Source organism: Homo sapiens, chromosome 11 (assembly GCF_000001405.40).
Source record: "Homo sapiens chromosome 11, GRCh38.p14 Primary Assembly".
NCBI classification, from domain to species: domain Eukaryota; kingdom Metazoa; phylum Chordata; class Mammalia; order Primates; family Hominidae; genus Homo; species Homo sapiens.
The window spans coordinates 67,642,085-67,658,953 of record NC_000011.10 but is presented as its reverse complement, the minus strand read 5'-3'; the positions used below and the strand labels follow the sequence as shown (position 1 = coordinate 67,658,953).

The following is a 16,869-nucleotide window of genomic DNA, read 5'->3' as shown; positions in this document are numbered from 1 at the left end:
ATGAAGAGAAAAAACCCACATATCCTGTAGGGCTGGACCCTACAACAAGCGTGAGCCACTGCACCTGGCCAGTTTTGCTCAATCTTAATTAGCAATTTTGGACCATAGCCAATTGTGAATGCTTCCAGAGAAGAATTTAAAACAACTGTGGGTGGCAGGGCATGGTGGCTCACGCCTATAATCCCAGCATTTTGGGAAGCCAAGACGGGAGAATCACTTGAGCTCAGGAGTTTGAGACCAGCCTGGGAAACATGAGACCTTGTCCTTATAAAAAAATAAAGACAATTAGCTGGGCACAGTGGAGCACCCCTGTAGTCCCAGCTACTCAGGAAGCTGAGGTGGGAGGATCACTTGAGCCTGGGAGGTTAAGGCTGAAGTGAGCTGTGATCACGCCACTGTACTCCAGCCTGGGCAATAGAGTGAGACCCTGACTGAAAAATAAGAATTAACTGTGGGTGACAAAAGCCCAGAGCAGCCAGTCAGAGATCTGATGACAATTTACAATTGACAGGAAATTTCAGCATTTCTTTTTTTTTCCTTTTTCTTTTTGAGACGGAGTCTCACTCTGTCACCCAGGCTGGAGTGCAGTGGCGCATTCTCAGCTCACTGCAAGCTCCGCCTCCCAGGTTCACACCATTCTCCTGTCTCAGCCTACCGAGTAGCTGGGACTACAGGTGCCCACCACCATGCCCGGCTAATTTTTTATATTTTTAGTAAAGACAGGGTTTCACCATGTTAGCCAGGATGGTCTCAATCTCCTAACCTCGTGATCCACCCGCCTCGGCCTCCCAAAGTGCTGGGATTACAGATGTGAGCCACCGTGCCCGGCCAGAAATTTCAGCATTTCTCTGGCATACAACCATGTGACACAACCATCACAGTCATGACACATATCTTGGCATATCAGAGTTTTAGGAATCTCAAACCTTTTCCCCTGTGTTAGTGACACACTTACACAAACATTACTTAAAGGAAGTTAAACACCGTTTCTATTTGACAATGCTTCCCATATTATTTACCAAGTAAGCCTGATCATTTAATATCTCCAAAAGATCAGAGACAAAACCTTTGAGGCTTGTTCCAGGAGGCCCTTTTGGTAGAATCTCAAAGTTGATTTTAGGCCAGATGGCTTAATTTAGGATTTGGATCCTGGGGAATTCTGCCAAAGAGGATGTCAAAAAGTTCAAATGGCTTCCTTCAACAGAATCAGAGATCACTGCCGAATAATAGTTACTCGTTTAACCACAGTGACAATCAAAAGAATTCAAAAGCAACACGAAAAGTTACATGCATGGAAAAACCTTAACACTTTAAAGCTCAGTCTCCCTAAGCAATCTGTGTTTCCTAGGCTGGTGAGCAGGGGAATACATTAGTAATACCATGGGAAGTCCTGGTTACATGAAACAACTCAGACACATTAAGAAAAACCAAGAACACAGAATCAGTTTATACTGGCGTAAAGCTGCTTTTCTAGACCTTTGAGATAAACCTGAAACCAAAGAAATTAGACTGATCTTAAGAAGGAATATGACAGAAACAGAAACTAATTTGTAATTCAGAGAATGGCTATTAACGAAGCAGGTTTTAGAAATAAATATCAAAACCTCTTGGAACTTTACTAAGAGTGAATTAATGTCTTAAGAAACTGCTGTTTTTTGTTTGTTTGTTTTTAAGACGGAGTCTCGTTCTGTCACCCAAGCTGAAGTGCAGTGGTGTGATCTCGGCTCACTGCAAGCTCCGTCTCCTGGGTTCACGCCATTCTCCTGCCTCAGCCTCCTGAGTAGCTGGGACTGCAGGTGCACGCCCCCAAGCCTGGGTAATATTTTGTATTTTTAGTAGAGACGGGGTTTCACCATGTTAGCCAGGTTGGTCTCAAATCTCCTGACCTCATGATCCACCTGCCTCGGCCTCCCAAAGTGCCTGGATTACAGGCATGAGCCACTGCGCTCAGCCGAAACCACTGTTGTTTTAACACAGGGGACCAAAATTGTAAGTTATGTATCATGTGTTTTAACATTCAAATTCATTCTCTAGAAAAACTGTTACAGGCCAGGCATGGTGGCTCATGCCTGTAATCCCAGCACGTTGGGAGGCCAGGATCACCTGAAGTCAGGAGTTCAAGACCAGCCTGGCCAACATGGTGAAACCCCATCTCTACTGAATATACGAAAATTAGCCAGGCATGGTAGTGCACGCCTGTAATCCCAGCTACTCAGGAGGCTGAGGCAGGAGACTCACTTGAACCCAGGAGATGCAAGTTGCAGTGTGGCAAGATCGAACCACTGCACTCCAGCCTTGGCAAATGAGCAAGACAGCCAGACTCCATCTCAAAAAAAAAAAAAACTATTACAAATCATTTCATTTAATTACAGCCAATTTAATCACACCCAACATTTCCATCATAAGTTCCCATTCACAAGCCTTATCATGACTTACTCAGACAGCTGTGGCATGCTTGGACTTGCCCTGTACTTCCTCTTTCTTAAATGTCTAGTCATTTTAGTCCAAGACAGAGATTGAACACACAAGTTTCTTTCCTATACAAAATTACTCTCATTGCTTCACATCTGTAATTTTCTTTACATCTCTGTCTCATCTACTTACTGGTTCCTTTTAATCTTTTTTCTATTTCTTTCCTAAATCCATATTTTAAAACTCCCTTTAAATAACAGCTAAATTAGACAAATTACTTTTTTTCTCAATAAAGAATATATTGTATACCTTTCTTACTGTTTTCTTATTAAGTGCTCCTTACTTTTGGCACACTTCCTATATAGAATTGTATATTAGGATTTTTAAAAACCCTTAGTACTCTTAAATTTTTGTTTTTAATTATCTTTTTTCTTTTTTTGAAACAAGGTCGTGCTCCATCACCCAGGCTGGAGTGCAGTGGCATTGATTTTGGCTTACTGGAGCCTTGACCTCCCTGGCTCAAGTGATCCTCCCACCTCAGCCTCCTGAGTAGCTGGGACTACAGTAGGCATGTGCCACCACCCCTGGCTAATTTTTTCTTTTTTGTTTTTCAGTAGAGACAGAGTTTCACTATGTTGCCCAGGCTGGTCTGAACCTCCTGATCTCAAACGATCCTCCTGCTTCAGCTTCCCAAAGTGCTGGAATTACAGGCATGAGCCACAGTGCCCATCCAGTTCCCTTAAATTTTGTTGAAAACATAGGAAGCACAAAATCTTGAACTTCCTATCACATATTGGTATTTTATGGGGAAGAGCCATTTTGTAATTGTTAGAAAAACATGTTTTCCTATAGCATAATTTTTATACGTATTTATAGGCCCAAACATATTTAGTCTTTATATTAAATTTAAGAGACCCAGGGCAAACATATTTATGGTCAGCAATTTGTTCCAGTTTTTGTCTTATTTGGAAATAACTCACATAGTTAATGAGTATCCATTACCTAATAGAGGATTTCAAATTACATTAAAAAGCCGATAGATACTTATCCCATTTACCTTTACATACTTTATTTATTTTTAGCAGTTTACCAGGATTACTTATGAGAACTGATATATTAGACAAAGCTAGTCATCATTTCAAATTATTTATCTGTTAATTACCTTTATATAGCTGGATGTCAGGCAACTATCATAAAAGTAAGAACCTTTAAGGCCGGATGCTGTGGCTCACGCCTGTAATCCCAGCACTTTAGGAGGCCGAGGTGGGCAGATCACGAGGTCAGGAGATCAAGACCATCCTGGCTAACACAGTGAAACCCCATCTCTACTAAAAAAAAAAAAAAAATACAAAAAATTAGCCGGGCGTGGTGGCAGGCGCCTGTAGTCCCAGCTACTCGGGAGGCTGAGGAAGGAGAATGGCGTGAACCCGGGAGGCAGAGCTTGCAGTGAGCCGAGATCACGCCACTGCACTCCAGCCTGGGCGACAGAGCGAGACTCCGTCTCAAAAAAAAAAAAAAAAAAGTAAGAACCTTTAAGTTACATTTCAGAAGGCACACCATTCCCATCAAACCAACAATTTTAGACTAGTTCCATTCACCAAAAGATTACTGTCATGTGAACTTGAAAAGCACTTGGTCTTATTTGCTTAGTTTATGAGTACTCATTTCTTTATAAGCCAATTCGGTACCATAGCCAAATATAACCGGACGTGTACATACTACCAGATACAAATAACGATCCTATAGCTTTAACTTTTAAAGGTTTAGCCATGGGTCAGGTAAAATTCACTACTTAAAAGACAGTTCCAACTCTGTCTCCGTCCAACTAACAATTTTAGCTAAAATTTATCTCTCCCATACAGCAGAAGCCCTTTCCTAAATTTTAGGAAGAACACGGTAGAAAGGAGACAGGCAAAAATTTGGCTCTAGTGTCGGAAAACCCGTGAGTCTCTCCCACAGCAATTGTTACCCGATCTAGGGGTTCCCAGATCATAGAGGAGTCCCCAAGTCCCATCACTTCTGGTCACTATTAGCAAACTGTAGCATCTGGTGGGCTGATTGACGGGGAAGTTTCTTTCCCTACCCACTGGGGACAGTTAGGACACTCTAGTACCCAATGGCCCTCTTGTTTACAATATGCACACTGTTGTGTTCTCAAGGGCGGGAGGCCCTTTGGCCGGGCAGTGGGGTCCCTAGGGATCTTACTTATGGCTGATCATCTCCAGTGAACTGTTTTGTTTTTTTGTTTTTTGTTTTTTTCAAGAAAGAGTTTTGCTCTTGTCGCACAGGCTAGAGTGCAATGGCGCGATATCAGCTTACAACCTTCGCTTCCTGGGTTGAAGCGATTCTCCTGCTTCAGCCTCCCGAGTAGTTGGGATTACAAGTGCCCACCACCATGCCTGGCTAATTTTTTATATTTTTAGTAGAGACAGGGTTAGCCATGTTGGCCACGCTGGTCTTGAACTCCTGACCTCAGGTGATCCTCCCGCCTCAGCCTCCCAAAGTGCTGGGATTACGGACATGAGCCACCACGCCTGGCCGCAGTGAACTGTTTCTTGTGTACTGGCTGGTTGTAGCCAAGAGACTCGATGGCTTCTTGTCTTGTGTTGCCTTTTTGTTTTTTGTTTTTTGTTTTTTTTTTGCCCTTCCTGGACCTGGCCACAGTTGCTCAATACCTTAAGGGTAATCTCAACCAATGGAGATGTCAGCATCCCCAGTGTCCCTTCTGCTTTTTGTAGTTTATCCGCATGGCTTCTGCCACTGGAGTCCTGCTACAATTACTGTTTTCCCATATTACCCACCCAGCAGCTTAGAGGCGGGATTGGTGGTGACACAGATCCCACAACTCTTGGCCCACACTCAACTAGTTTTAAAAATATATTGGTGGGGAGGGGCGGGCATGGTGGCTCATGCCTATAATCACCACGCTTTGGGAGGCCGAGGTGGGTGGATCACTTGAGCTTAGGAGTTCGAGACCAACCTAGGTAAGATGGTGAAACCCTGTCTCTATAATATTAGGTTGGTTCAAAAGTAACCGCTGTTTTTGCCATTGAAAGTAATGGCAAAAACTGCAATTACTTTTGTACCAATCTAATTTTTTAAAAATTAATTAATTAAAAAAAATTGGAAGGCATAGATTTCACTCGGCAAGGCAGGAAATCTTGTAACTGCTCTATACTGTGGCTCTGCCGACCGCCCGGCACTGCTCCAGCAGATGCAAACTGCCCGAGATTTTGATGAATTCACTGAAGGAAATAAAGACATTGTGTTTAAAAACACAGCAGAAAGGTTGGGTGTGGTGGCTTATGCCTGTAATCTCAGCACTTTAGGAGGCTGAAGGGGGTGGATCACTTGAGCTCAGGAGTTTGAGACCAGACTGGACAACATAGCAAGACCCCATCTCAAAAAAAAAATTAGCTGGGTGCGTGCCTGTAGTTTCAGCTACTTGGGAGGCTGAGATGGGAGGACTGCTTGAACCTGGAAGTTGGAGGTTGCAGTGAGCCACAGTCGAGCCACTGCACTCCAGCCTGGGTGACAGAGCCGGACCTTGTCTCAAAATTAAAAAAAAAAAAAACCCACTGCAGAAGACCTTCAGAATTGCTTGCCTCTAGAAACCATGCTTTCCTCAGAACATCTAACCCTTCAAAAACTACAGCAGCAGCCAGAACCCACCATTCACGCTGACGCATTCCTTTGTGATAAAGACTTCATTGATTCATTATGTGACAAAGGGAAAATGAGCAGAAACTACTGGGTGGTTCACACCAAACAGAACCTTTAGACCGATTGCTCGTTCCTTCTCCCTCATGGAATTGAAGTTCATTTATCTTCATGCACTCCCTGATCAATCAGGAAAGGCTGTGGCTGACGTCAGCTCCAGGCTCAGCACAGTCTTTATGGGGTGATCTTATAGCTTAGCAGTGCAACCCTGTGGAGTAGAACTGAACGGAGACTTTTGCCAGTTGCAGGAAATGGTCATTAAAAAATACCAGTTTATTCACAGAATAAAGGTGCTTCATGCAGACATCTGTCCCCAGGGTTTCTTCTGCAAAATGCTGATGCTGCTATCATGAATAATGTCTTCAAATATTCTCTTAATGAGGCAGAACAAGCCGGAGCTGGGAATACATTTGTCATAATGTAAGGAAGCAGATCATCATCAGTGACAGTGCCAAGTCTTGAAGATTCTCTCCTGGGTCTTCAGACTAATACACATTTATCTCCCTGGGTTGAAGAAGTACTGTGGGACTATGATGTATACCCACAAAAGGATATTGACAAAGAAGCTCTTTATTTATTTATTTATTTATTTATTTATTTATTTATTTATTTATTTTCTTTTGAGACAAGGTCTCACTGTGTTGTCTAGCCTGGAATGCAGCCATACGATAACGGCTCACTGTACTCACGGTACGATTACCTCCAACTCCCCGTGCTCAAGTGATTCTCCCGCCTCAGCCTCCTGAGTAGCTGGGGCCACAGCTGTGTGTGCCACCACCTGGCTAATTTTTTTTTTTTTTTTTTTTTGAGACAGAGTTTCGCTCTTGTCGCCCAGGCTGTAGTGCAATGGCATGATCTCGGCTCACTGCAACCTCTGCCTCATGCCTCAGCCTCCCAAGTAGCTGGGATTACAGGCACCCACCACCATGCCTGGATAAATTTTGTATTTTTAGTACAGACGGGGTTTTGCCATGTTGCCCAGGCTGGTCTTACACTCCTGACATCAGGTGATCCACTCGCCTCAGCCTCCCAAAGTGCTGGGATTATAGGTGTGAGCCACCGCGCCCACCCTAATTTTTTTTTTTTTTTTGGTAGAGACAGGGTCTCCCTATGTTGCCCAGGCTGGTCTTGAACACCTAGGCTCAAGCAATCTGCCCCCCTTGGCCTCCCAAAGTGTTGGGGTTACAGGTGTGAGCCACTGCACCCAGCTGACAAAGAAGCTCTTGAACAAATTCATTTAATGAGATTCTCTAGCACTAAAATAGTCCTACCTCATTGTAATGTTTTGTAGAGTATCTTATAAAACAATGAAAAAAAACCAGTATTTTAATACATATTTTTCTGTATATTTCCTTCTAGCCTTTGTACATATGATCACATATTTGTAAAAAGTTGTATGTATATATATACAACTTTACCCGCTTTGTGTGATGATATGACAAAAACATTTATCTGAAAAAAGTATTTTTTTCATCAAATGGCAGAGCTCCTGTTTCTGGTAACCCGGGGTATGGCAAGTAGGGGCTCTGGGAGATGGAGCAGCTCAGCCTCCTGTGAAAAATTCTGTTTCTCTAAAAAAGAACAAATTCTCATGCTGGGCGCGGTGGCTCACGCCTGTAATCTCAGCACTTTGGGAGGCCGAGGCGGGCGGATCACGAGGTCAAGAGATCGAGACCATCCTGGCTAACACGGTGAAACCCCGTCTCTACTAAAAATGCAAAAAATTAGCCGGGCGTGGTGGCGGGCGCCTGTGGTCCCAGCTACTCAGGAAGCTGAGGCAGGAGAATGGCGTGAACCCGGGAGGTGGAGCTTGCAGTGAGCCGAGATCGCGCCACTGCACCCCAGCTTGGGTGACAGAGCCAGACTCTGTCTCAAAAAAAAAAAAACGAATTCCCAAAACTAGTCCCACTGTTGTCTACCCAGATCCGGGATCCGGGTTGCCCTTGGCCTGGCCAGAGATGCCTCTCAATCCCCCACGGCACGTAGAGCCAGACAGAAACCGAAAGCAGAGGTGCCCTGCGCTGAAGTCTAGAGATCCCACTGCTAGGTCCAAAGAATTTACCCTTTCAGTCAACCCACGGGGCAAAGTCCACTTTCTTCCCTGAAGGAGCAGCACAGAACAAAAGCTCCAGGCAGCTGCTTCCGCTGTTTCGGGGGTAGGGCGGAGTGACAGCCCCACGGGCCACGCAGCAAGCAGAAGATCCCCGGGAGTCACCCTCAACCCTCTGGGGCCACGTGGGTGAGTTCGCCCGGGGAAGGTGCCGCGGCCCACTGCTTTACCTTAGTGAGCCTCAAGAAGTTAGGATCAGAATCCCAGTCGGCCCCATCTGGGTCGCCAGAGTTTTGTTACCCACACAACGGGTGGGCTCAGTTGCTTGGCGGGTGTTAACTAAAGAGGATTTAATAGGGGATTTTATTTCTTGCAACAAGTAAGGAGAACACCTAGACAGCTCCCAAAGCAGTGTCTCCCCGAGCTGAGGGCTGGGGCAGGTTTTATAAGCATAGGGTAATGAGGCGTGATCTGATTGCATCTTGCAATGAGGTGATGCTGGGAGGCATGATCTAATTGGATGCTGACACAGGGGGGAACCACAGCTCTGACCCCTCTCTGGGTCTCAGTTTCCCCAACTGCAGTGAGGAAATTGGCCCCCGTGATGATGCCCATGACATCACCATCCTCTGCCCTCACTCATGCTGGGGTCTCCATGTGCCCATTTTCAAGCTTGTGCCCGCCCTTTGTTCCTCACTCCCCACAGCTGCCCTTGGCCAGGACTTTCACAGGGTGGAGCCAAGGCCCAGAGAGGGCACTGAATCTCTCCAGGTCACACAGCCTGTCAGGGAGGTGGGGCCAGAGCCAGGTCACACGTGTGCACACAACACACACACACGCACACATGCTCACGCACATGCACGCACACACGCTCTCAAGCACATGCACACATGCACACACATGCACACACACTCTCATGCACACACGCACACATGTACACACACATGCATGCACACATGCACACAATACTCTCATGCACATGCACACACGTACACACGCACACATGCATGCTGTCACACATGCGCACACACGCACACATGCTCTCATGCACACACGCACACATGTACACATACATGCACACATGCACACAATACTCATGCACATGCACACACATGTACACACGCACGCACACACGCATGCTGTCACGTACACATGTGAGTGCACACACGCACACACATGCTCTCATGCACACGCACACATGTACAGATGCACACATGCATGCACACACATGCACACACGCGCACACACTGCCAGGACTGGGGGCTGCTGTTTCTGAGGGTTCCTGGACCCCGTTCTGTTCCATAAACACTCACTGAAATGCAGAAGCTGGACCCCAGCCAAGGGAAGTGAAACTTTCCAGCACCCCTACTGCTGTTCTCCCTAAACTTGGGGGCCCAGCACCTTGTGGCAGGAAGCACCCTGGCCCCCAGCAGCCCCCAAAATAGCTAGGTCTGCCACGGAGGCCCTTCCTTCCTGAGAGGTACCACACCGAGTCAGCAGGATCCCAGCCTCTGTGGGGGTTGGGGGGGCCTTCCAACAAAGACCATGGCCTGGGACTCATAAAGCAGCATGGGGGTCCCTGAGACCCCTACCCCAAGCAAGGAAGGAACAGACCCAGGCCGACAGGCTCCTCTGCTGACTCCCTCTCCCACCACCTGCCAAGGACTCAGTCAAGTCACCCAACCCCTAGAGCTTCAGTCCACACCTGCAAAATGGAGCCGGTGACAGCTGCCCCCAGGGCTGGGCCGGATACAGGAGTTGATGGCATGGCATGGCCCCCTAATGGCAGTCTCTGCCCTCCCTTTGCTGAGGCTCCAGGTGCCAGGAGGAGTGGCCCCTGGAGGGGGCTCATAGGGAGCCCCGGCCCACTGGGGGCTCAGCCTCACACTCCATCCACCCCTCTTGACACCCTGTCAAGATCCCAGCTGCCCTGATGGGAGCCAGGATGACAAATCCCCTGTCCCCACAATCGCCATGCTCTGAGCTCACGAAGCCTTGGGTGTGGAGGGCAGGAGAGCCCAGGCCACACAGAGCTGAGTGTGATCTGGGGCAGCTTCCGAGAGGGTGTAACTTAGAGGGTCCTGGCCACCCAGAGCCCCCCAGGCTGGTGGGCCTGGCATCTGGAGCAGGGCTGGACTGGCCCGGGGAGACCCAGTGTGGTGGTAAAGAAGGCCCAGGATCGATGCCTGGGGGAGGCTCCAGCTCAGGGTCCCAGCACCTGGCATCCAGCAGGCCCTGGCGGAGCAGCTTGCCTCACTCCCCAGTGACTTCGGAACTGGCCTCAGCTCCTCCCAGCAGACAGCTGAGCCTGGTGGGAGGTAGAGGCCCCAGGGCTGAGTGCAGGGGACCTCACCTTCATCCTTCCCCACTTTGCTCTTGAGAGGCAGCAGGAGGGGATGGAGCCACATTGGACGCACTGAGTGCCACCTACAGCCCGCCTCTAGGGCTCTGTGCGCCACCTGCAGCCCGCCTCTAGGGCTCTGTGTGCCGCTGAACAGTCTGCCCCTAGGGTTCTGTGGGCCACCTGCAGCCTGCCTCTAGGGCTTGTGTGCCTGCAGACAATTTTCTGAGCCTCAGTTTTCACATCTATAAAATGAGCCTGAGGGTTGTTCCCAAAACAGGGCAAACCGAGTCATCTGAGTTACACTGTCCTTGAAAATGACTGAAATCCCGGATCAAACATTTTAAAATTTTGCTTAAAGCAACAAAGAGCTGTAAAACTGGGGCTCCACATGGCACCTTTGGGTAAGGGCGACTCAGGAGTGACCACAGCCCTCTCCGGGCTGCAAGGACAGAGGCATGTTGCCGAGGTGGTGAAGGAGGGGCAGCTTGTCATCTTGGTGGCCATCAAGGTGACACCTCTATAGTAACTTTCAATAGCCTGCTCTGGTGGTGACCAAAACCAAGTCACCACCCCACTGCGGGTGTACCTCTTAGTAGTGTTAAGGAAGGTGGCCCCTCTGGGGCCCAGCAGAAGGACGAAGGGCAGGGGCAGGAACTTGCCCGCAGGACCTGGACTCGTTGGGCCGTGGCAGCACAAGTAGCAGCGTGGGGCGGGCGGGGCAGGAGCAGTGGAGCAGACCCCAGCACTCCGACCTTTGGCTGCATGAACCTCAGCCCGTCCCACCCACCCCCTGCTGTCTGCCAGCTTGCCACAAAACTTCCCATCTGTGGATCTCCAGGCCCATGAATACCAGCCTGTCTGCGAGTTAGACGCCAGTCCTGGTGGCCCGGGAAGCCCAGATCCGCATCAGCGGTAAGTACCCCCTGACCTGAGACCCCTGCACCAGCTGGGAGGAGCAAGCAGGAGGGGCAGGAAGGCGAGGCTGTTGCCTAGAACCCAGACACTCCACAGCTAACTCTGGTGACACTTTCCACTCCCCACGCTGTGCCTCAGTTTCCCTGTCTATAAAAAGGAGCGCAGTCCTCTTCCTATAGGGAGTGTGCCTTGGTGAACCCATCTTCCTGAACAGTTGGGCCCCTCTTCTCAATTTAGGAAAAAGAAACTTCTTTTCTCCAAAGGAGCAGGAAAATTGTCTCCTCAGAGAAAGGGCCACTGGGGGTGCAGGTGGGACACAGCTGAGACACTCCCAGCTGTCCACACCTCTTGACAGGTGGCTGCCCTGTGGAGCCTCCCACCGCCATCCTTGCCCTGAGCCCAGATCCCTTGCATCGGGGCCAGGGTCTCCTAAGTATGCCCACCCCCAGGTTCTGCACCCCACACCAGCATGTGCTCACTGCCTGTGCCCCGGGAGCCCCTGCGTCGCGTGGCTGTGACTGGGGGCACGCATGGCAACGAGATGTCGGGCGTCTACCTGGCCCGGCACTGGCTGCATGCCCCCGCAGAGCTGCAGAGAGCCAGCTTCTCCGCTGTGCCTGTGCTGGCCAACCCGGCAGCCACATCCGGCTGCCGCCGCTACGTGGACCATGACCTCAACCGCACCTTCACCAGCAGCTTCCTCAAGTGAGTGCTTTTGCCGCCAGGTTGGCCCAGGCAGTTGGGCACCGAGTCCCCACCACAAAACTTCCCTCCCGCCACCAGCAGGGCCCTCCCTGCCTTCACTCCTGCTTCCCCTCTGCCTATGTGGCCCATTCCTCCACGGGACAAACCGAACATTTAGAGAAACCAAGATTGATGTCACCTCCTCCAGGAAGGCCTTCCTGACTGCAAGTTGGTTCAGGACCTCTTCTGGGGATCCCAGACCTAATTCTTCCCTCAGATTAGCCCCACAGGCCATGTTTACTTGTCGTGTGCCCTGATCACTGTTCATGCCTCCTTCCAATGAATAGTCACTGCATCCTATCTCCAGGCCAGGCTCTGGCCAGCTCAGGTGAGAGAATGGGGAATAGGACCAAGGTGTTGGCTTCAAGCTTAATGGGGAGACAGAGGAAGAACCGGGCAACCATAACCCAGGGGGCTAAAGGCAGGGCCGGAGGCTACACAAAGCAGCTAACCTGGCTGAGAGCAGTCAGGGAAGGCTTCCTGGAGGCAATGGTGTCTCAGCCAAGCCCCAAAGGCTGACTAAAAGCTAGCCAGGGGAAGAGAGGTGAGAGGGAGTTTCCACTGGAGGGCCAAGCACAGCACAGGCCTGGGGGTGAGACCAGCATGGTGCTCAGGCAGTGTGGCTGGAATGAGGGCATGAGAGGCAGGCAAGTGGGCAGGCAGGTGGGAGGGCGGGCCAGGCTGAGAGCTTGGATTTTACCGGGAAGTGCAGAGCCAAGAGGGCCACGGGCAGGGGTGGACACAGCCACAACGTCTGAAGGGAAAGCCCTCGCTCGAGCTGCTCAGAGTGGCTCCTGCAGGGCCCCTGCCCCTTTCCCCTTAAACCACTGAAGACTGACTGAGACTGTGAAGATCGGTGTCCCCCATTCCCGTCTCCACAGTTCCAGGCCCACCCCGGACGACCCATATGAGGTGACAAGAGCCCGAGAGCTGAACCAGCTGCTGGGGCCCAAGGCCTCGGGCCAGGCCTTTGACTTTGTCCTTGACCTGCACAACACCACGGCCAACATGGGCACCTGCTTAATCGCGAAGTCCTCCCACGAAGTCTTTGCCATGCACCTGTGCCGCCATCTGCAGGTGGCCCCGGCCCCAAGCACACAGCTCCCCAGAGGGGAGTGGGAGGGAGGGAGGGCAGGCGGGACAATGCTGGAACCTCCTTTGCTTAGCCCCTCTTCCCCGGGCCTAGTTTCCCCTGGGCTCCAGTCCCTGGGGTCTGCCACTCGCCAGCACTCCAGGCCCCCGGTACCCCCTCCCCTACCCTGCCAGAGGGTAGAGGGAGACCTGGCCAAGGAGGGTGGTGCCCTGTGTTTCCTCCATGCAACACCTTCCCACCTCAGTTTCCCTTCCCAAGTAGGCCTGGGCCCCTAACCTGCCTCTCTCGCCCCCAGCTGCAGTACCCCGAGCTGTCCTGCCAGGTCTTCCTGTACCAGCGGTCTGGGGAGGAGAGCTACAACCTGGACTCTGTGGCCAAAAATGGACTGGGTGGGCCGCAGCCTTCTGAGAAGTGGGCGGGGCCAGGAGGGCTGGAGGGGCGGGTCCAGTCACCAAGGGGCAGGGCCTCTTCAAGGAGTATATGGGTCCTGCACCTGCCTAACCCCTTGCTTCCTGGTCCCCAGGTCTGGAGCTGGGCCCCCAGCCACAGGGTGTGCTGCGGGCTGACATTTTCTCAAGGATGAGGACCCTGGTGGCCACAGTTCTGGACTTCATCGAACTCTTCAACCAGGGTGAGACCCCAGGGGACTTTCGGGAAACAGGTCCGGGGAAGAGCAGGTCTGGCTCAGGGGTTGGGGAGCCAGGCTCACAGGCAGGCTGGGATCTAGCCCTGACGTACCCCCACGGCCCAGTCTGTCCCCTAGCCTGGAGGGAGGGATGGGCTCACACACCCAGCCTCCCACACAGGTACGGCCTTTCCTGCCTTTGAGATGGAAGCCTATAGACCCGTGGGCGTCGTGGACTTCCCCCGCACCGAGGCCGGGCACCTGGCAGGCACTGTGCATCCTCAGCTGCAGGTGTGTGTGTGTGTGTGTGTGTGTGTGGTGGGGGGTGATTTCTGGGGCCACAGCCTTGGGGAGGAGGATTGTCAAGGAAAACTGAGCCCCAGGGGGTGCAGCCAAGCCTCCCACGAGCTCACCAGCATCTCGGGTTGAGGAGCAGGATGGGAGGCTGGGCTCCGCCATCCCACTTCCCCTGGCCCTGCTGCCTTCCCTGGAACCCCACACTCAGGCCTAGCACAAGAGGCCACAGTGATCCCCATAGCTCCTGTGGAGGGCATGATGGAGACAACCCTACCCTGGCTGTAAAAGGCAGAGGGAGGGGACATGGAGCAGGCATGACTCAATTCACCTGCTTGGAGGTGCAAATACAAAACTCTCTTCTGATTTTCAATTGGTTCCTCGAGCATCCCCATGCATGTTGGCAGTATGTCTCTCTGCAGGCCTTCCCTTCCTGAATGTTCCAGGATTAGGCAATCCTGCTTCCACACCTTTCCCTTGGGTGCCTGAGAAGAACGTACTGGCTGCTGCTCTGCTTGCTGCCACAGGGGGTCATTGTTGAATAGGGTCTGGTGCAATCTTGTGGCCTTTTGTGCCCTGAAGTTTCATTTTGAGGAGTTACCTTCTTACAAATGGAGGCAGCACCATCCCGTCCATGTTTAGGGCTAGACAGTCTTAATCCAGCCGTGCCCAGCTACCTTGCAGACGTTCAGTCATAACAGTCAATTTGGGTGGCTCCTCCTACAATTTTAAAATTTATTTTATTTTTTATTATTATTTTTTGAGACAGAATCTTGCTTCATTGCCCAGGCTAGAGTGCAGTGGTGCGATCTCAACTCACTGTGACATCTGCCTCCTGGGTTCAAGCGATTCTCCTGACTCAGCCTCCCCAGTAGCTGGGATTATAGGCACTCACCACCACACCCAGCCAATTTTTGTCTTTTTAGTACAGACAGGGTTTCACCACGTTGGCCAGGCTGGTCTCGAACTCCTGACCTCAAGTGATCTGCCCACCTCAGCCTCCCAAAGTGCTGAGATTACAGGCCACTGAGATTATGAGCCACTGTGCCCAGGCTTAAAATTTATTTATTTATTTATTTGAGACAGAGTCTCGCTCTGTTGCCCAGGCTGGAGTGCAGTGGCATAATATTGGCTTACTGCAACCTCCGCCTCCTGAGTTCAAGCGATTCTCCTGCCTCAGCCTCCCGAATAGCTGGGATTACAGGCGCTCACCACCACACCTGGCTAATTTTTGTATTTTTAGTAGAGATGAAATTTCACCATGTTGGCCAGGCTGGTCTTGAACTCCTGACCTCATGATCCACCCGCCTTGGCCTCCCAAAGTGCTGGGATTACAGGCGTGAGCCACTGCGCCCAGCCAAAATTTATTTAATAAAGAATCATATTGTACTTACCGTGTGCCAGACACTGCTGTAAGCACTATTAACCTGTTTAGTCTAAACTTCAGAATGATAGGAGGAGATATTGTAATCCTTATTTTACAGACAAGAAAGCTGAGAAACAGAGGTTAAGTGACTTGCTCACAGTTACACAGCTAGCAAGAATTTGAACTCCAGCTTCAATACCTGTGCCCGTATCCATGAGGGTCCACTTCCACATGGGCACATGCCACCCCAAGGTGACCTGTGTCTTCATTTCTAGACACAGAGCAGACTGGTATCTCACCAGACCTGCTGTCATATGGATTAAGGAAGTGAAGCATGGGTGGGAAAAGCCATGAATGAGGGGCATCTTTTGGGTGTCAAGCTGGGGTCACCCCCCTCTGGGGCCAGGGCAGAGGTGGCCCCAGCAATCTTGGCCTTTGGCTCTCCTCCCAGGACCGAGACTTCCAGCCACTGCAGCCTGGTGCTCCCATCTTCCAGATGTTCAGTGGGGAGGACCTGCTCTATGAGGGAGAGTCCACGGTGTACCCCGTGTTCATTAACGAGGCTGCCTACTATGAGAAGGGCGTTGCCTTTGTCCAGACTGAGAAGTTCACATTCACCGTGCCTGCCATGCCCGCGCTGACCCCTGCCCCGAGCCCAGCTTCCTAACCCAAGACACACCTCCCCAACCTCAGTCTTCCCATCTGAACGATGGGTCCTGAGGCACAGCTCTGAGCACAGAGGTCCCTTCTGCCACCTACCATGCACCATGTTCCTTGCCAGGCCTCCCCAACCCCTGGCCTCAATTTCCCTTTCTATAAAATGGAAGATGTCCAGAGGTCCATGGTTTGTGTCCTCTGTCCTGCACGGCTCCTCTCTGGCTGGGGAAGTGGATGGAGGAAGGGAGGTTGACCACAGGATCTGGGGGAGGTCTGGCCAGTGCAGCCTTGGACCTGCAAGTGTCTTGGGGCCAGTGGTGGCTGCCTCTGTGCCCACAGCTGTCCATCCATGCCTGGGGGAGGATTCCAGAGTGTGGGAGGAGAACCTGAAGAAGGATTGCTCTGGATCCAGCGGAGGGGCTTCCAGAGGAGGCTACAACCCAGAGGGGGACCCCCCAACCCTCCTATAGTCCTGGGGCCAGACAGTGAGTGTGGGGAGCGCAGAGACAGGCCCATGTCTGTGCACACATGTGTGTTTGTCCGTGCATGGCGCCTGCCCTGGATGCTCTTTGGCGTGCGTGTCTGTGCGTTTCCCACACACACGTGTTTCCAAGAGCCTCAGTTCCTTGGGCGTTCTAAGGGGATCTCT

General features: G+C 51.1%; 1 protein-coding gene across 5 annotated transcripts, besides 9 other annotated features; it reads left to right on the top strand.

The window, feature by feature from the left end:
• Window positions 7,943-8,002: an enhancer, noted in NCBI's record as "active region_5123". NCBI's record gives its function as "activates an Ori minimal core promoter by ATAC-STARR-seq in GM12878 lymphoblastoid cells {active_cell/tissue: GM12878}" and the evidence as "EXISTENCE:reporter gene assay evidence [ECO:0000049][PMID:35858748]".
• Window positions 8,073-8,152: an enhancer, noted in NCBI's record as "active region_5122". NCBI's record gives its function as "activates an Ori minimal core promoter by ATAC-STARR-seq in GM12878 lymphoblastoid cells {active_cell/tissue: GM12878}" and the evidence as "EXISTENCE:reporter gene assay evidence [ECO:0000049][PMID:35858748]".
• On the top strand, window positions 8,224-16,399 carry ACY3 (aminoacylase 3). Of its 5 annotated transcripts, none has more exons than XM_017018551.2 (9): window positions 8,224-8,371; window positions 11,365-11,438; window positions 11,935-12,146; window positions 12,493-12,513; window positions 13,067-13,262; window positions 13,574-13,667; window positions 13,802-13,909; window positions 14,085-14,194; window positions 16,015-16,399. In XM_017018551.2, exons 3-9 carry the CDS (start codon window positions 11,983-11,985, stop codon window positions 16,228-16,230), a joined length of 909 nt encoding a protein of 302 aa, XP_016874040.1. In that variant the 5' UTR covers window positions 8,224-8,371; window positions 11,365-11,438; window positions 11,935-11,982; the 3' UTR covers window positions 16,231-16,399. The 5 variants fall into 5 exon arrangements, with proteins under 5 accessions (XP_016874040.1, XP_016874038.1, XP_016874039.1 ...); XM_017018549.2 differs by having other exon boundaries at window positions 11,891-12,146; XM_017018550.2 differs by having other exon boundaries at window positions 11,331-11,438; window positions 11,891-12,146.
• Window positions 9,830-10,352: an enhancer, noted in NCBI's record as "H3K4me1 hESC enhancer chr11:67416073-67416595 (GRCh37/hg19 assembly coordinates)". NCBI's record gives its function as "activates a minimal SCP1, AML or CMV promoter by ChIP-STARR-seq in naive H9 embryonic stem cells {active_cell/tissue: H9 hESC(naive)}" and the evidence as "EXISTENCE:reporter gene assay evidence [ECO:0000049][PMID:30033119]".
• Window positions 9,883-10,302: an enhancer, noted in NCBI's record as "active region_5121". NCBI's record gives its function as "activates an Ori minimal core promoter by ATAC-STARR-seq in GM12878 lymphoblastoid cells {active_cell/tissue: GM12878}" and the evidence as "EXISTENCE:reporter gene assay evidence [ECO:0000049][PMID:35858748]".
• Window positions 10,763-10,842: an enhancer, noted in NCBI's record as "active region_5120". NCBI's record gives its function as "activates an Ori minimal core promoter by ATAC-STARR-seq in GM12878 lymphoblastoid cells {active_cell/tissue: GM12878}" and the evidence as "EXISTENCE:reporter gene assay evidence [ECO:0000049][PMID:35858748]".
• Window positions 12,821-13,020: an enhancer, noted in NCBI's record as "active region_5119". NCBI's record gives its function as "activates an Ori minimal core promoter by ATAC-STARR-seq in GM12878 lymphoblastoid cells {active_cell/tissue: GM12878}" and the evidence as "EXISTENCE:reporter gene assay evidence [ECO:0000049][PMID:35858748]".
• Window positions 13,041-13,100: an enhancer, noted in NCBI's record as "active region_5118". NCBI's record gives its function as "activates an Ori minimal core promoter by ATAC-STARR-seq in GM12878 lymphoblastoid cells {active_cell/tissue: GM12878}" and the evidence as "EXISTENCE:reporter gene assay evidence [ECO:0000049][PMID:35858748]".
• Window positions 13,591-14,158: an enhancer, noted in NCBI's record as "H3K4me1 hESC enhancer chr11:67412267-67412834 (GRCh37/hg19 assembly coordinates)". NCBI's record gives its function as "activates a minimal SCP1, AML or CMV promoter by ChIP-STARR-seq in primed H9 embryonic stem cells {active_cell/tissue: H9 hESC(primed)}" and the evidence as "EXISTENCE:reporter gene assay evidence [ECO:0000049][PMID:30033119]".
• Window positions 14,159-14,728: an enhancer, noted in NCBI's record as "H3K4me1 hESC enhancer chr11:67411697-67412266 (GRCh37/hg19 assembly coordinates)". NCBI's record gives its function as "activates a minimal SCP1, AML or CMV promoter by ChIP-STARR-seq in primed H9 embryonic stem cells {active_cell/tissue: H9 hESC(primed)}" and the evidence as "EXISTENCE:reporter gene assay evidence [ECO:0000049][PMID:30033119]".
• Window positions 16,400-16,869: the final 470 nt, after the last annotated feature.

Coding starts and splice junctions, on each gene's coding strand:
- ACY3 (XM_017018549.2), top strand. CDS start 11,911: ATGTGCTCACTGCCTGTGCCCCGGGAGCCCCTGCGTCGCGTGGCTGTG. Junction 12,514..13,066: donor CCAGGCTCTGGCCAGCTCAG/GTGAGAGAATGG, acceptor CCGTCTCCACAG/TTCCAGGCCCACCCCGGACG. Junction 14,195..16,014: donor CTGTGCATCCTCAGCTGCAG/GTGTGTGTGTGT, acceptor CTCTCCTCCCAG/GACCGAGACTTCCAGCCACT.